Source organism: Homo sapiens, chromosome 1, assembly GCF_000001405.40.
Source record: "Homo sapiens chromosome 1, GRCh38.p14 Primary Assembly".
NCBI classification, from domain to species: Eukaryota; Metazoa; Chordata; class Mammalia; order Primates; family Hominidae; genus Homo; species Homo sapiens.
In genome coordinates this window covers 211,511,402-211,528,888 of record NC_000001.11, presented here as the reverse complement: position 1 = coordinate 211,528,888, position 17,487 = coordinate 211,511,402, and the positions used below count along the sequence as shown (strand labels likewise).

Sequence of the window (17,487 nt, the reverse complement as noted above, 5' to 3'; positions counted from 1 at the left end):
TCAGACCTCAGAGCCTAAGCTAAGCCATCATATCCCCAGTGACCTGCTTGTGTACATCCAGATGGCCTGAAGCAACTGAAGATCCACAGAAGTGAAAATAGCATTAACTGATGACATTCCACCATTGTGATTTGTTTCTGCCCCACCCTAACTGATCAATGTTCTTGATAATTTCCCCCACCCTTAAGAAGTTTCTTTATAATTCGCCCCACCCTTGAATGTACTTTGTGAGATCCACCCTCTGCCCCAAAAACATTGCTCTTAACTCCACCTCCTATCCCAAAACCTATAAGAACCAATGGTAATCCCACAACCCTTTGCTGCCTCCTTTTTTGGACTCAGCCTGCCTGCACCCAGGTGAAATAAACAGCTATGCTGCTCACACAAAGCCTGTTTGGTGATCTGTTCACACGGACACGTGAGACACCTGGGAAGTTGAGACTGCGGTGAGCTGAGATCCTGCCACTGCACTCTAGCTTGGGTGACACAGCAAGACCCCAGCTCAAAAAAAAAAGAAAAAAAGAAGGCATGGCTAGTGTGGAAGTGGCTGCAAGCTCAGTTGTCCGTGGGTACTGGATTCAGTGGCGGATCTGGGCACTGCTCCCCACTCCCTGTGGACTCCATAGCTCAGTCATGGACAAGGTTTCTGACCTCGCCGCAGGGCTCAAGGCCTGGCATTCTCACTTCTTCCACCCTCTGGAGGCCCTGGCCTGCCCTGGGTACCCTCCCCAAGTAGCTTCCTTCCCTTGGCTCTTGTGCCTTTGAAACCTGCTGAAGCATTTCCTGTCCAAGGCAGAGTGAGGCTCATGGGTCGCTGGGTTTCCTTTCTATTCCAGGAGTTGTAGCCAGACCTGCTTGAGTCTGGGCCAAGCTCAAGAAGGCAGTGGGTGTGGGGGCCTTCCTTCCAGTTCAGCGAAGGGGCTGGGGAGGAGGCAGGACCAGGCTGAGCTGGTGCTGCTGGGATCAGTCATGGACCACGTGCAGGGGGCAGAGGCACCCAGCCTGGCACTTTGAGGACATGGGAGATAAAGCTCCATTTCTGTCCCCCTAAGGCAGCCTGAGGTTGAGCAGGGCCCAAGGCAGTTCACTAAAAGAACCAGCGTCAGTGAAACTACTCTAGGTAGCTTCAGGCCATTGCTTTACATGCAACTCTCCCAATGCTAAATTCTAAACTGGCTGCTCATTTCAGCTCAGGGCTGATAGCCATGCAGCTCTTTATTATGAATCTTAACCTCTGGGCTCTAGGGGTTCCTGCCCTAATAGTAAAAACAGTATCAGTAATAGCATTCAAAATTGGGGTTCAGCAGGCGACCTGCTAGGACTCTACTAGGAGGTAGAGATCACCCTTGCCACGTCCTGCTAGGAGAGTATCTGGACCTTCCAGCAACACGCCAAGGGTTCTAAGGCTTGAAATGCATTCCCACACTGAAAATACAAATCACAATGTTTCTCAAACTGTTGAAGGTCAGACACTGAGAGGGGCAGGGTGAGGACCAGGAAAGATTGGGTGAGGGGCTGGGGAGGAAGGGAGAGAAGAGGTTCCAGCGGAGGGGAGGATAATAAAGCCTCCCCCTTCATGCTGTGTGGGGCATGGACCTAAAGGATCAGGGGACCCTGTGGAGTGGGGGATGGACAAAGGATGCCAAGGTGGAAGATGTGCTGACTGGCATGCTATTTTTGCAGGACATTTGCATGCTTTTCATGTACTGTCTAGAGAACAGTGCAGGGAATTCCCCCAGGCCCTGCTCTCTCCCCATCCTCCTTCTCTGATGTGCCAGGGCAGGGCGAGCTTAGGTTGGGAAGAAGTGGACGGGGTTCCCACTCCACCATGGCCCTGTCTGGGTGGGGGCTGCAGGGGTGGAGGCTGCATTCCCTGAATCTGAGGAAAGGATGCTCCCTTTCACCCCCAGTAGGGAAGCCAGGGGTAGAGGAAGGTGTGTGAGAGGAGGGAACCCTCCTACTAGGAGGATGGGGTGGAGGGGGCAAGGTGTCTGGGGGTGAGGAGCTTTCTGGCTCCAGGCTTCTCTCTGATGCAGGGCCTGGAAGGAAGGAAGCCAGATGAGGTGCCTCCTCCTGAATCCTTGTGAAGTTTTGTTTCCTGTTGCAAAGCAGGTTTTTGACATCAAATGCCTTTCTTTTCCAATGGCCCTGCATTCCCACCCTGCCCACCCTTCCTCAGCCCCAGCCCTGGCCCATCTCATAGGTACCTTGGGGGTTCTGGGCAGAAGCGGGGAGTCCATCAGGGCCAAGGCCTGTGTCCCTCTGTCTTGCATCATGGTGGCTGGCTGGGCTCACGATCAGGCAAAGCAGGGGTCCTGGGACCCCTTTGTCTCAAGGCTCTTGGATGGGCCCTCGGGCATGCCTGGGGTGCCCATGCCAGGTCTCAGCTGGTTTCTGGCTGGTCAAGAGTGACTAATCCCAGGGTGTTCTGGGCATGGACCCTGGGTCATCTGTGAAAAATTTGTCCCCACCCTGGTCTGTGGAGGTCCCACTTCTTTGTGCCTTTTTTTCTGACTCTTATTTTTCTTTGCTCACTCTCTTGCCATATATGTACTTTTTTTTTTTTTTTTCTGAGACAAGATCTTGCTCTGTCACCCAGGTTGGAGTGCAGTGGCACAATCATGGCTCACTGCAGCCTCGAACTCCTGGCCTCAAGTGATCCTCCTATTACCAGAAAGGAGACCTGATTCAGACCTCAAGAGAGGGTTCTTGGATCTCAGGCAAGAAAATTCAGGGTGAGAGTAAAGTGAAAGTGAGTTAATTAAGAAAGCAAAGGGGCCAGGCATGGGGGCTCACGACTGTAATCCGAGCACTTTGGGAGACCAAGGCAGATGGATTACTTGAGGTCAGGAGTTCAAGATCAGCCTAGCCAACATGGTGAAACCCCATCTCCACTAAAAATACAAAAATTAGCCATGCATGGTGGTGCACACCTGTAATCTCAGCTACTCGGGAGGCTGAGGCAGGAGAATCGCTTGAACTCAGGAGGTGGAGGTTGCAGTGAGCTGAGATTGTACCACTGCACTCCAGCCTGGGTGACAGAGTGAGACTCTGCCTCAAAAAAAAAAAAAAAAAAGCAAAGGAATAAAGAATGGCTACTCCACAGACAGAGCAGTGGCATGGGCCGCTCTACTGAGTAGAGTTACAGTTACTTGTTGATTATATGCTAAACAAGGGGTGGATTATTCATGAGTTTTCTGGGATAGGGGTGGGCAGTTCCTAGAACTGAGGGTTCCTCCATTTTTTAGACCATATAGGATAACTTCCAGATGTTGCCATGGCGTTTGTAAATTGTCATGGCGCTGGGGGAGTGTCTTTCAGCACGCTAATGCATCGTAATTAGCATGTTAGGAGCAGTGAGAATGACCAAAGGTCACTTTCACTGCCATCTTGGTTTTCATGGGTTTTGGCCAGCTTTGTTACCGCATCCTGTTTTATCAGTGGGGTCTTTGTGACCTGTATCTTGTATTGTCCTCCTATCTCATCCTGTGACTAAGAATGCCTAACCTCCTGGGAATGCAGCCCAGCAGGCCTCAGCCTTATTTTACCCAGCTACTATTCAAGATGGAGTTGCTCTAGTTCAAATGCCTCTGACGCTCCCACCTCAGCCTTCCCAAGCACTGGGATTACAGATGTGTGCCTTCACATCCAGGTTTTTTTGTTTGTTTGTTTGTGTTTTTAATTTTTGGTAGAGACGGAGATCTGTATGTTGCCCAGACTAGTCTTCAACTCCTGGGCTCAAGCAATCCTTCCACCGCAGCCTCCCAAAGCACTGGGATTACGAGTGTGAGCTGTCAGGCCTGGGCTTTTTATTTTTATTTTTTATGGATACATAATTATTACCCCTTAGCCCTTTCCAGGGCACTTCCCCTGACATCCCCAGCCTCCCCCATTGCAGCTGCTGCCAAGGCTCATTCTGTTCTGGGAGGGGCTCGGGTCTTCCGCTTTATCCTCCTGGCAATGGGCTTCTCCACCTGAGGAGCAGAGCGGGGTGGTTGGGCGGTGGGGAGGGAGCTCGGGGAGCTGGGGATTACCTCCTGCTTGGAGCAGAAACAAAACCAGACACAAGTGTGGAGCAGGGGGGACGTCTCAGCACACTGGCGAGGCCTCCTCTGGCCTCAGAAAGCAGGACTAGCCAGGGCAAGCCGCTGGGAGAGCAGCCCATGGTCTGTTGACCCAATTCCCAGGGAATGGCTGAAGTTCATCTTCCCTGAGGAAAGGCTGGCCCAGATGAGGCAGGAGGCCATTTCCAGAGCCAGAAGACGAACCAGCCAGCTGCCTGCCACCGGCACAGGCACAGGCTCAGCATACCAAGGGGCCTTTGCACACGCACTGTCCGGAACACTGACAAGCCCAGTGCACAGCATGGGAGTGGGAGCGTGTGTAGGCACCCTCTCAGGCTGAGGCCACGTGGGCGCCATGCAAGTCCACAGATTCGGGTCCACCAACAGGCCCCAGTGGATTTATTCTGCAGTGCTGCCTTCCTTTGGGCAAAGCTCCATCTTGTCCTAATTTGTAAACTTACCCACCTTGGAGCTCATGGGCCTTGTAGTTCATGTGGCCCACTCTGGGCATTTTACACTCAACAAAACAGACCAAGTGGGGTCAAGTGACTTATCTAAGGTCAAACAGCTGATACGTAATTGTTTTTTGAGTTATAGAGATGGCACAAATTTGGGTGACTTGAAATCCAGAGCTAGGAGAAAGAGGAGACAGAGTTTAGAGTCCTAACGGCCTGAGTCACCTCCGTGCTTAGTCTCTTTCTGAATGTGAGTCTTTTGACAAGCTACCAAACCTCTCTGAGCTCCAGCTCCCTTATCTTGGAAGCAGGAGTGATCAAATCTACTCTGCAAGGTTGTTGCAGGGTTTAGTAATCACATACATTAGAAGCCTGGCATATAGTAGGTACTCAATAAATGTTTCTACAACTACGGGGTTTGATAAGGTGGTAAAACAATCAACCACAATGCTATTTAAATGGCACCTATCATGGGCCAGGCTCTAGGCTTGGAGCTGGGGACACTAAGACAAATTGGGTGTCTGGACAAATTGGGTGGGTGGAATGTAGGATAAAGACAAGAAAATACTGCTGAGCTGTGTGCCTGGTGCTATAGGGAATACAGGAGAGGCACCAAACCCAGATGCTGTAGAGGGTTGGGGGGTCAGCGGAGGGGGCAGCGGAAAACTCAAGAAGACTTCCTAGAATTTGAAGAATGAATAAAATTTACCCAGGCAAATAGGAAGGGAAAGGAGATTGGAGCTGAGGGAACTGCAAGGACAAAGACCCAGAGCCAGAGAAAGTCCTAGGCAGTGGATATGGAGAGGGGACTGGAGGGTGAAGAGGAGTGTGAGTGGTGTGAGAAGAACTCCATCTTTACCTGAAGGGCTAGGAGCCTTTGACTACAGCCAGGCCAACACCTAAATTCTCAGCAGATAAGCCAATTCAGAAAATAATGAACTTTGGTGTTTTTTTATTTGTTTGAGACAGGGTCTCGCTCTGTCACCCAGGCTGGAGTGCAATGGCGTGACCTCGGCTCACTGCAACCTCTGCCCCCCTAGTTCAAGCGATTCTCCCACATCAGTCTCCCAGGTAGTTGGGACTACAGGCGCCCGCCACCACGCCTGGCTAATTTTTGTGTTTTTAGTAGCGATGGGGGACGGCGGGGGGCGGGGGAGAATAGGTGGATTGGGGAGCGGGGGCCAGGGGTGGCGGATCTCACCATGTTGGCCAGGCTGGTCTCGAACTCCTAACCTCAAGTGATCCGCCCACCTCTCCCTCCCAGAGTGTTGGGATTACAGGAGTGAGCCATCCATCCCACCCAGCCTGAAAATAAACTTTTCTTCAATTTACTCTTTTTTTCTCAAAAGTAATTGCGTCATTGTTTGCTACAAACAAACAAACAAACCTTGGCTTTATTAAAGGTCACTGGTAGATGAAAGTGGTGGCTTAGAATTAGGCTCCTTGGTATAAAAGGAAGGAATTCAAACACACCTGAGCAACGGAAGTAGCTATCCATTTGCTAATGGTTTAACAAACCACTTAACAAACTACTTCTTTGGGCCTATAGCCTGGAGGGGACTCCAAATCTTCTAGCTAGAGATTCTCCTCATTATGTTAATGTATTGAACACATTGCCTTTGATAGTTCTCAAGGTTGTGATTGGTGGTGGTGAGTGGGGAGGGGGATTTGCAAAGTGTTTCAGTTATTGAAATTCATTCAACAAATATTTACTAGGCACCATCCTAGGTGTTTTGCGATAAGGGCTAAACAAGACAGGATTCCTGTACTCCTGGGGTCCTTCTTCTAATAAACTTGGAAGTTTGTAGCTAACACCAACTCCTCAGGAAACAAGCAGCCATCCGTCCCATCAAAGGTGGCAACAGCAGTGTGGTTAAGAGCCAGGTATTTTCAAGTCAGATTAAACCTGGTTTTGAATCCCAGCTGTCTGAACTCAGGCAAGTGACTTAATCTCTTTCAGGCTCTCAAGAGTGAAGTGAGAGAAACAGAACCTACTTCACAGGGTGTTTGGAAGATTAAATGAGATGAAGGATGTGAAGTGCTTTCTACTAAGACCGATACATCATAAGCCCTCGGTAAATGATAGCCACTGGCATTAATGATTTTTTTGTTTTGTTTTGTTTTTTGAGATGGAGTCTTGCTCTGTCGCCCAGGCTGGAGTGCAGTGGTGCGATCTCGGCTCACTGCGAGCTCCGCCTCCCGGGTTCACACCATTCTCCTGCCTCAGCCTCCGGAGTAGCTGGGACTACAGGCGCCCGCCACCACGCCCAGCTAATTTTTTTGTATTTTTAGTAGAGACGGGGTTTCACCACATTAGCCAGGATGGTTTCGATCTCCTGACCTCGTGATCCGCCCGCCTCGGCCTCCCAAAGTGTTGGGATTACAGGCTTGAGCCACCATGCCCGGCCAATGATCTTTGAGACAACTCAAAAGCCAAGTGTGCAGAAAAGAGGTTTTAATATGGTGAAGAGGGTGGTAATGATGGTCCAGTTCACACTTCAAAATCATTGGCACAAAGGTTTCTCAAGGGCTGGGATTGGGTTTTGTTCATTTTGCATCTCCAGTGTCTAGCATGTAATAGGTCATTAATAATGAGCCCTGGATGAATGGTTCTTAGCTCTTGGCCAGGACCCAGGAGAGGGACTAGGTGTCAAACAGTTCCAGGAAGATATTATTTCATGGGCTACTTACTCTAGCCAAGAAAGGTCAGTGGGACCTGGGACATCATCAAGAACTGGGTCATTTGTGAAATAAGCAAACACTGCATGGACACCTGATAACACATTTTTGGAAAGAGTGCAGAGAGCAGAAAGTTCAGGAGAGAGCAGGCTAGCAGCAGAGAAGGGGAGGAGTCATTTTGCAAAGGGAAAACCTTGGGGGAAGTGTCCTGGAAAGTCCGTGGCAAGAAACACCTTTGTTTCACAGTCTATGCCTTTGACCCTCAACCTGCCTCCCCATGAGCTACAGCGGCACATGCAGTTCTCTCTCCTTTTCTTAAAACAAGGATGAGGGGCCTAGGGTTTCCCATGCAAGAATAGGGCTCTGGGGTCTCAGGCTAGTCCACGACCTGACTAGGAGAGAGACAGCCAGGATCAGAACAAGAACATCCCGAAGACCAGTCTAACAGAGCCAGAAACACTCCTAAAATTGGAGGACCTCTTTCCCTGGTTTTGGGAGGAATTTAGAGAAGTTTGGGCAATATTCCATCCTCATGTGCTCACAGATTCAGAGAATGTTAGAGCTGGACAGAATTGTGGTCCAACCCCTCATTGGACACTTGAGGACGCTGAGTCCCAGAGTGGGTTAGTGATTTCACCAATGAAACACAGTGAGCTGGGATCAGAATCCACACCAGCTGGTTGATTCGCGGGTCAGTGCACACTCATACAAGTGATCTCTGAGCTCTTCACTGAGACATCCAACTGCCTAAGTGACATCTCTGTTTGGAGGTCTCAAAGATTCCCACAATTCGACATGCCTAAGGTGGAACACTTAACCTTCTCCTTAGCCTGGCTGGTTCTCTTACAGTGTTTTCTAGTTCCATGACTGGTGGTGCCACCTACCCAGTTGAGCAAGACAGGAATAAAGCAGGAGTCTCCCGACACACTCTCTCTCACTCTGCATAGCCAATCGATTACCAAGTTCTGATTTATCTTCTAAATGCATCTCCAGGCCCTCCTCTTTTCTCCATTTCCTGTACCATCACCCTATGGCAAGCTACCCTGCCCTCTGATCCCTTGACTACTGCAATAGCTGTCTGCCGACTACACTCCAGTCTGTTTAGGATCTGTCCAGCCCATTTCTCACGACGCAGCCTCAGAATCTTTACAGAACACAAAACTAGTCATGTCATACACGCATCTGCTTGGGGAAACTTCAGTGGCTCCCCTTTTTTCCCCCAACCGCTTTTATTTATTTATTTATTTTTTTGAGACAGAGTCTCGCTCTGTCACCCAGGCTGGAATGCAGTGGTACAGTGACACAATCTCAGCTTACTACAACCTCCGCCTCCCAGGTTCAAGCGATTCTCCTGCCTCAGCCTCCCGAGTAGCTGAGATTACAGGCGCATGCCACCACAACCGGCCCATTTTTTGTATTTTTAGTAGAGATGGGGTTTCACCATGTTGGCCAGGCTGGTCTCTAACTCCTGACCTCAAGTGATCCACCCACCTCAGCCTCCCAAAGTGCTGGGATTACAGGTGTGAGCCACCACACCCAGCCAATTCCCCTTGTTCTTAGGACCATGACAAAACTTAGCAATGTGACTTCAAAGGCCCTGCATCACCTGGCTCCTTTCTCTCTCTGCCACCCACTCTCACGGTGGGGGACACTGGCTCCCCCTCTCTCCACTCCAGCCATACTCTCTCCAACTACAGTGCCTTTCCCTGAAATGCTCACATCGCTCTCTTGGCCTGGTTAGCACCTTTCATCCTTTAGATTCCAGCCCACACCTCACTTCCTCAGGAAAGCCCTCCTGAGTGGACCAAACCTGCCTATGCTATGCCCTTTCAGCATCTGTGCCAGCCAGTGGTTTACACGTGTTTGGCAAGTGTTTGATGAATGACTTTGCCTCACTATGCTGTAAGCTCCAAGGAGCAGAGACAATGTCTGGTTTTGTTCATCATACCCTAAGCGCATAGTTCAGTGCCCTGCATGTTGAGAGGCACTTAAATATTTACTTATTGAACAAGTGAGTGAATGAATGCTCTGTTTTTTAAGACTTTCTCTAACAGCGACACTATGGAGAATAATTGGCACTTTTCATCCACAGATGGCCTCCTGTGCCTCTTTTAGGAAACAAGATGACAGGCTGGGTGGCGAGATGCATGTGAACACGGTAGGGCCATGAGACTTGCCTCCTAAAAGTTTCCTCTATGTTTTTGCAAAGAAGATCCCCATGTGTTGGTAAGTGGGGAGAAAAACAAATTGAAGTAATCTCTACCAGATGACCCTCTGTAGTTTGTTAAAGGTGTATGCACACATGAACCCACTGAAAAAGAGTAACAGTGGAGGGTGGCATACAGGTTACCTTCCTTCCTTTTTTCTTTCTTTCTTTTCTTTTTTAAATAAGTTTTCCATTCTGGATATGTATTTTTTGACAAAGAAATAAAAAGTATAAGAATTTTTCTCAATGTGTATATGTATATATACACATATGTATGTGTATATATATATATATATATCACAATCTCTCTCTCTCTCACACACACACACAGTTAAAAAAATGGAAGATCATGTGTTCAGACACCCGAGGATGAAAACCATATTTCCCCTCAGCCTGGGACCTTTCTGAAAGTAGAAATCATTTCACTTCCTCTCTTTATTTCTCTGAGCACCCTCCTCTCCTCATTTTGGTCACCATTATTAGTTTCAAGTGACAGAAAACCCAATTCAAAGTAACTTAGGAAATGTAGGCAGTCATAGCTTGGCCATTCCAGCCACGGTGGCTCCAGGAGCCTAAGCGATGTCCTCAGGAATTGGTCTTTCTCTGTTCCTTGGCGTGGCTCTCCCCTGGTGATGCAAGATGCCCATCAGCAGTCCCAGGCTCATGTAATCCACCAGTAGAGAGAGTTTCTCCTCCCACTAGTTCCAGCTACAGCCCTGGTGCTGATGATCTCTGTGACCAGTGTCAGAGGCTGGGGTAAAATATCTTGTGGCCAGGCCTGGCCCAGGGGCTTCCTTCTGGCAATGGGCCCTGTGGGAATCTTACTGACTACAAGTGGAAGGTTAAGAATTGGAAAGCTTTTGCCAGAATAAGGGGAAGGGATAATAGGCAGGCAAAACAAAAGGTGAGTATCATACACTGAGCACTTGGCTCTGCACACAGTAGGTGCTCACCCTAACAGGGCTGACTGGCTGGCCTCTGGCTGGAACCATCTGGGGAGAGAGGAAGTGGTGGTTTCACATCAGCTGCAGAGCCTCCACCAGGTTCAATTTTACATCTAGAGAGAGGGATTTGGAGTCCACGCAGGTCCCAGAAGGTGACAAGGTGGTAGAGAGTGATACGTGCCTCGTTGCATGGAAAACTGCCCTTGGGCTCCAAACATGGTATGCCCAGAGGCTGAGCTTGGAAATGGGTGAACCTTGGCCCAGCCTGGCTAAGAGAGCCACTCGGGGGCACATGCGTACCCTTGCCCTGCTCTCTGCGGGCTGGCCTATGGCCAGCAGGTGCCCAGTGAGAAGATTGTACTCCAAGGGATCCAGCCTTTTACACAAGTTATAAGATGAGGAAGAAACATGGCTTGTGTCTTTGGGAAGTTCTCAGCCCAGTGGGAGAACTGTAACATGACAAGACTAACCCTGTATTTGGGGGCTTCCGCCTGATGTGTCAGCCCCAGAGGGACGGCATGGTAACCCACTCTGTACCAGATTTTAAGCTTTATTCCCAAACCTGCTTTGCTTCCCTTACCAGCTCTTTTACCTTTGTCTTCCATGTTCCCAGTTCATGTTGACCACCTGGGCTGGTTCACTACCACCACACCTGGGAGTGAGAGAAGCCCACCTTCTCCCACTGGCTCAGCCACTCAATTGCCTGGAAGGCATTGTCAGGCAAGGGTGGCCTGCATCTCTACCTCAGCAAAAGCCTCCAGGAAGCCAAAATTAAAAGCGAGGCCAGACCAGGCAACAGTGGCTCACGCCTGTAATCCCAACACTTTGGGAGGCCGAGGCCGGAGGATTACTTGAGCTCAGGAGTTTGAGACCAGCCTAGGCAACATAGTGATCTGGAGTCCATCCAGGTCCCAGAAGGTGATGAGGTGGTGGAGAGTGATACTTGGAACCCATCTCAGTAAAAATCGTAATAATTTTTAAAAGAGAGAAAGAAGAGTGAGGCTGGTTCCTGCTGTACCCTGGAAGTGGTTTTTTCCAGGCGCCTCTTTTTCCAAATTATCAGTTTGAGGCTGAGAGGGCAGGTAAGGGAGAAAGTGACAGTGAGCTAGGCATGGGGAAGTGGCAGCAGGTTGAAGCAGGATCCTGAGAAGACAGCACGGAGGGGCCCTGAGCTGGCTGGGCAGGTGTGGGGCTAGGAAGCCACACCCAGCTCAGTAATTCCCAGGGAGCTTCTGGGAGAACCTGGGCTCAACAGGGAGATCACAGGGCCTGCTGAGGCCATATGGGTGAGGCCTCGCCCTTCTTCCTGCTTCCTCCACCATGCAGTTCCTGCCTCTCCTCCCCCTTCACCTTGCATCCCTCCTCCTCTGCAGCAGCCCTCCTGCTCACACAGTTTAAGAAAGGCTGGTGCTAAGCCTGTGTGCACCACAGGTGGCGTCATGGGCAGGGTCTTTCATGATTTTTCTGCTGCCACTGAGAAGACGGATCATCATCTTTCAGGCAAGTTTGTAATAAACATTTAACGAATGAATGGGTTAGTGATGAACATTCGTTATCTAATTTGAACCCTTTACCAACCCTTTGAGGTAGTCCACACAGTTCCTATTAGTGCTGTTTACAGCTGGGGAAACTGAGACTCAGAGAAATTATGTGTCATCACGTAGGTATGCAGTGACCAGCTGGACTCAGAACCCATGACCCTAGTTCTTGCACTAATGTCCACTGCCTGTCTCTTTCACCCACCTGCACCCTCACAGCTACTCCTTGGGGTTCAGAGGGGGATGACTGGGGCGGGAATAGCAAGGACACAGGCATCATGGGGGCAGATTTGACCACACTGGCTCTGGGCTGTCAAGACAGCCAATCTGGGCTGCTGTCTCTGGCTGCTGTTATGGCTTCATTCCCGGGGCCACTCCACTTAATACAGGGACAGTACTTCAGGTCCGTCTGCCCAGTGCAGTCACATCAGGAGCACCACGGCAGCCGAAGTGAAACCTGGCCAGTCATAGGCAATAACCTTTGACCTGCTGGCAGGTGGGTGTTAGGTTAAATGTTAAGTGACCGGCCGGTCACGGTGGCTCATGCCTGTAATCCCAGCATTTTGGGAGGCTGAGGAGGGCGGATCACCTGAGGTCGGGAGTTCAAGACCAGCCTGACCAACATGGAGAAACCCCATCTATACAAAAAATACGAAATTAGCCAGGCGTGGTGGTGCATGCCTGTAATCCCAGCCACTGGGGAGGCTGAGGCAGGAGAATCGCTGGAACCCGGGAGGCGGAGGCTGCGGTGAGCCGAGATAGCGCCGTTGCACTCCAGCCTGGGCAACAAGAGCGAAACTCCGTCTTTAAAAAAAATTGTTAAGTGACCTCAACTATGTGGCCATGGGGAATTAGAGAGAGTAGAATAGAATCCCCTGTGGGTTGCAAGTGGGAGATGCTGGGATTTTTGAGCATCTTTACTGGTGATCCCTACGGCTGAATTAGGAGAGCTCTCCTGGCACCCGGGAAAGCTTTAACCTCTGGAGTGGCCTTCACAGGAGACAGCCTCAGGATGCTGGGAGAGCCCCTGACCCTCCACAACCTACTACCAATTCCTGCGCGCCGTTCCTTGGGCATGAGGTCCTGAACCTGGTGGAGGAAGGGTAGCAATGCCTTCCATTGTATTGGTTACATGCTTCTTACAGTCAATTAATTGGTTCGATCTTTTCCAGACAGTGCCGGGCTAGAGGCTGACCTTCCCCACTCCCGACCTTGGCTTCTTGAATAACCTCACAGGCCACGGGGCATGCGGGGTGCGCGTGCGTGGCTGGGCCGGCGTAGTCAGCCGGGCGGGAAGGTTTACGGCTTTGGGGAGGCGCCGCCTTGCCGCCCTGACACCGCCCCGCCAGGCCAGCCCGCCGCTCGGTGGCCCCGCCGGCTTCCCGCGGTCGGGACGGGCGCCCCCTGCTGATTGTGGGCGGCGGCGCACCGAGGAGCGGCCCCTGGGAAGCCCAAGACCTCGCCGCGGCTCGAACCCCGCGACCCTCGGCCCGGAGGGAGGTCCTGGCTGCGGGGAGCTGCCCAGACCGCGGTGACTCAGCTAGGTGGCACCGGGAGAGCTGAAGCGGGCGCCCCGCTGGGCCTGGCCACAGGACGGTTAATGATTAATGTTCCATACCGGGTGGAGACGTCGAAGGGGAGGGAGGCCCAGGGGCGCGTCTTGGCCCTGGCTGTGCCTGCAGGAAGCAGAGGCCCAGACGGGGAGAGACTCAGGCCTGGGCTGAGGCGGCTGGGGGCAGGGGAAGGAGCAAGCCGTGAACTCTCTCCTCTTCCCACCCCGCACGCCGCCCCCGTTCTCGATGCCCTTCTCCCCTGCCCCGGGAGCCTCCAGGCGCCGCGCTCCTCCTCCCTGCCTTACCAAATGCCCATCCGTGCCCGCCTCGGTGCCAGGCACTGCAGGCCGCTTTCATATAAATGACTGATTGCCTCTTGCCCATTTTACAGATAAACGCAGAAAGCTCAGGTGATGTGCCCATGGGCTCTCAGCTCACAGGCAGAGTGGGGATTCGAACCCAGCCCCGGACACAGACCAGGTGTCCTTCTACTACCCCACCCATTGCTGCCCAACTCCAGAGACACCTACACCCCAATCTACCAACTTAACCACCTGGGCAGAGGAAATAAGAGGCGGTACTGCCCCCGCCTACAGGGATCGCAGCTCCATTCTCTGCCCTCATAACTCATTACCCTAATTTTAGTCAATCAGAAAATCGTGTCAGGGCTGGACGTCAAGCTACCAGGGATAATGGTTCCTGTTGTAAAATGCTCCTTTGAGCTGAAAGCAATCGTGAAGTGAGGCGCCCGGTTCAAGGAGTCAGCCTCCCGACTTGAGAAGCCAACTGTGGTGGTGCCACGAGGCTGCGATTCACAGGCTCCGGTGGAAAGACCAGGGAAGAAACTTATTTACAAAAATGAGAATAAAAAATATTCTGGGCCGGGTGCGATGAGCCATGCTTATAATTCCAGCGCTCTGGGAGGCCAAGGCGAGAGGATCACTTGAGCCCAGGAGTTGGAGGCTACAGCGAGCAGAGCACCACTGTACTCCAGCCTGGACAACAGAGATATTGTCTCTAACAAAAAGGGAGGTGGGGGGAGGAAATAGTATTCTAACACGAAGCTGCAGGTTCTGCACAACAAGTTTAGGTTTTCCTGTTCTCTCTAGGGTAAATGAGGCATGCAGGCGCCTGCACCCTCCGGGCAAGGACAAGGCGTGTGAGAGTCTCTGGGTCTGCCCCAGCGACGCCGTCGGGCCTCTGGGCGGTGCAGCCTGGTCCGGCATCATCCTGGACGCGCGGGTAATCAGGGCTGAGGGAGCCCAAGGTACATTCTGTCCCTCACCACAAGATGTCGCCGCTGCTAATGGTTAGAGGGCTCTCAGCAAGACCAACTCCCAACCCCAGACTCTGAGTCAGAAACTCTGGGGTTGGGGCCCAGCAATTCGTGTTTTTCACAGGCCCTCCAGGGGATTCTGAAACATGCTCAAATTTGAGAACCACTGGTAAAAGTCATCCTGCAGGTCTCACTGCCTCTGACGTCTACCCCTTCTGCTAGGTGGTCAGGGCAACTCAATCTGTTACCCACCTGGAGTCCCACCCCAGTGCCCAACTGGGGCAGGACCTGGGATCTCAGAGCTTCAGTTTTCTCAATTGCAAAATGGGGATAGTAGTACCCACCAGACAGGGCTGTCACGAGGCTAAAATGAGTGTCTGAGAATGCATTTGCAAAGGGTAAAACCCTACATAGTAAGGATATGTTGTGACTGTTGCTTTTATTTGGAGTGACAAGCTGTAAAGCGAGTTGAAGGCAGCTGGTTCTGAAGGTTCCATCCTCTCTCTTGTCTTCTCTCCAATGCTCCTATTTCTCTCCCCACCTAGAATCACCTTTAAGCCACCCAGGGAGAGGCATGTTCAATGCACCAGCTTGCAGCACAGAAACAGCTTAACTTTCATCTAGTATTTGCCATGTTCTAGACCTTGAGTGGAAGGCTTTAAGTGTGTTATTTTATTTAATCCTTACACAGCCCTATGAGGTTGACACTACAAAGGATGCTGATAAGGCAACTGATAAAACACAAAGAGATTAGATAATTTGCCTAAAGTCATGTGGCCAGCAAGCAATAGGGCTGGATTTGAACTTGGGCAGCCTAGCGTACATTCATGCTCTCAATGGCTCTACAGTGCTGCCTCCCCTAAAGCTTGTTTCCCAAACCCTGCATGGTGAGAAGCAGCATGGAACTGTGGAAAGAGCACTGGGTTGGGATTCAAGGTCCTGGTTTTGCCATTTTCTAGCTCTGTGATCATGAGCGAATCACTTAACCTTTCTGAAGTAGAGCCTTGGGAGGGTTACATTACGTATCACACAACAGAGTGTCTGGTATAAAGTAGGCGCTTCATATATTTACTGTGTCCAACAGCCTCCTCTTTCCTCAGTGTCCCCTCCCTCAATCAGGCAAAGATGATTCTGGGATCCAGAGGGACAAAATGTATGCCCTCTTTCCCCATCATGTCCCCGAAAGGCGCATGATGAGGCTGGAGTCAGGGCCAGGAGACAGGCTCCAATCCTGGCCCTTGCTCACGGCAGTCTCCCCAGGTGCCCTGCCTGCCAACATGGGGTCACTGGTATTCGGCTGCTCTACTGTTTCCCCCTTCGATGGCCCTGAACCTACAGCTGTCCAGGGAATGCATGGAGTTGGTCAGGGAGGCTCTGCCATGCCCAATAGCTAGCTGGCTTTCTCCAGCTCTCCTTCTGAAACCTGGCCAAGCCCCCTACCCCTTACTCAGCCCATTGACTCTTAAGCTCTCACTGGAGTGAGGTGGGATAGCCAGGAGAGTGTGCAATGTGGAGACACTGCAGATCTAAGTTTGAATCCTAGTTCTGTTTCTTACTAGACATTTAACTTGAATAAGTCCCTTTGACATGCCTCCTTTTTCTCATCTATTCTTTGGAAAGCTTTTTTTCTTTTTTCTTTTTTTTTTTTACAGAAATGGGAGTCTCGCCATGTTGCCCAGGTTGGTCTTGAACTCTTGAGCTCAAGCAATCCACCTGCCTTGGCCTCCCAAAGTGCTGGGATTATAGGCATGAGCCACTGTGCCCAGCCCTTTTTTTCTTTTTTAAACATTTTTCTACCCCCCAAAATGCAGAAAAATCATTTGGATTCCTATCCGTCCCCTTCACAATTGGGCTCTTTTTAAAATTCTATTTCAACTCTGTCCTGGAGCCTGTTCACCTAGAGGAAGCCCCTACACCTTTCCTTCCAAACCCCCTTGTAGAAGTGTGTAAGTGACTAACATGTTCCAACTTCCCAGGAAGGGGCAGAGTCATCATGCTCACCCTTGTACCAACAATGTGGTTTTCCGCATCACTCTGTCCAAGATCCACAAACTCTGGGAGAGTGTGTTCACTTGCCCAGGCTTGGCTTCACACCCACCCTTGGCTAGTAAGGAACAGGACATCTCGTTGACTAGAGTGTCAAGACTGTATACACAGGGGAAAGAAGTAATTCTCCAAGAGAAAATAAATCCGGAATAATAATAATTTTAGAAAAGTACACCTGGGCCAGGGGTGGTGGCTCACGCTTGTAATCCCAGCATTTTGGGAGTCCGAGGTGGGATCACTTGAGTCCAGGAGTTCAAGACCAGCCTGGACAACACAGTGAGACCTCGTCTCTACAAAAAAATTAAAAAATTAGCTGGGTGTGGTGGTGCGTGTCTGTAGGACCAGCTACTTAGGAGTCTGAGGTGAGAGGATCGTTTGAGCCTGGGAAGTGGAGACTCCAGTGCGCTGTGATCGTGCCTCTGTACTCAGCATGGGCAACAGAGTGAGACCCTGTCTCGAAAAGAAAAGAAAAGAGAAGAGAAGAGAAAAGAAAAGACAAGACCAGACCTCAGGGCAGAGGGGCAATCACACTTGCAAGGGTGGAACCCGTTATCCCCCAGCTGGTCGTCACATCTGGACTCTGTAGGCGAGTGCCCTCGTTCTGGGGGAAGTGCACGGTGGAGCATTTAGGGGCAATAGAGCATTTTGTCTGCAGCTTGCTCTCAAATCATTCAGAGTAAAGACCTACGATAACAATATATGTAAAACTAGAATGAAAGAGGGAGT

General features: G+C 50.8%; 4 annotated features.

Annotated features, from left to right (window-relative positions):
* Positions 704–773: an enhancer, noted in NCBI's record as "active region_2487". NCBI's record gives its function as "activates an Ori minimal core promoter by ATAC-STARR-seq in GM12878 lymphoblastoid cells {active_cell/tissue: GM12878}" and the evidence as "EXISTENCE:reporter gene assay evidence [ECO:0000049][PMID:35858748]".
* Positions 9,942–9,991: an enhancer, noted in NCBI's record as "active region_2486". NCBI's record gives its function as "activates an Ori minimal core promoter by ATAC-STARR-seq in GM12878 lymphoblastoid cells {active_cell/tissue: GM12878}" and the evidence as "EXISTENCE:reporter gene assay evidence [ECO:0000049][PMID:35858748]".
* Positions 13,202–13,561: a silencer, noted in NCBI's record as "silent region_1787". NCBI's record gives its function as "represses an Ori minimal core promoter by ATAC-STARR-seq in GM12878 lymphoblastoid cells {active_cell/tissue: GM12878}" and the evidence as "EXISTENCE:reporter gene assay evidence [ECO:0000049][PMID:35858748]".
* Positions 14,574–14,663: a silencer, noted in NCBI's record as "silent region_1786". NCBI's record gives its function as "represses an Ori minimal core promoter by ATAC-STARR-seq in GM12878 lymphoblastoid cells {active_cell/tissue: GM12878}" and the evidence as "EXISTENCE:reporter gene assay evidence [ECO:0000049][PMID:35858748]".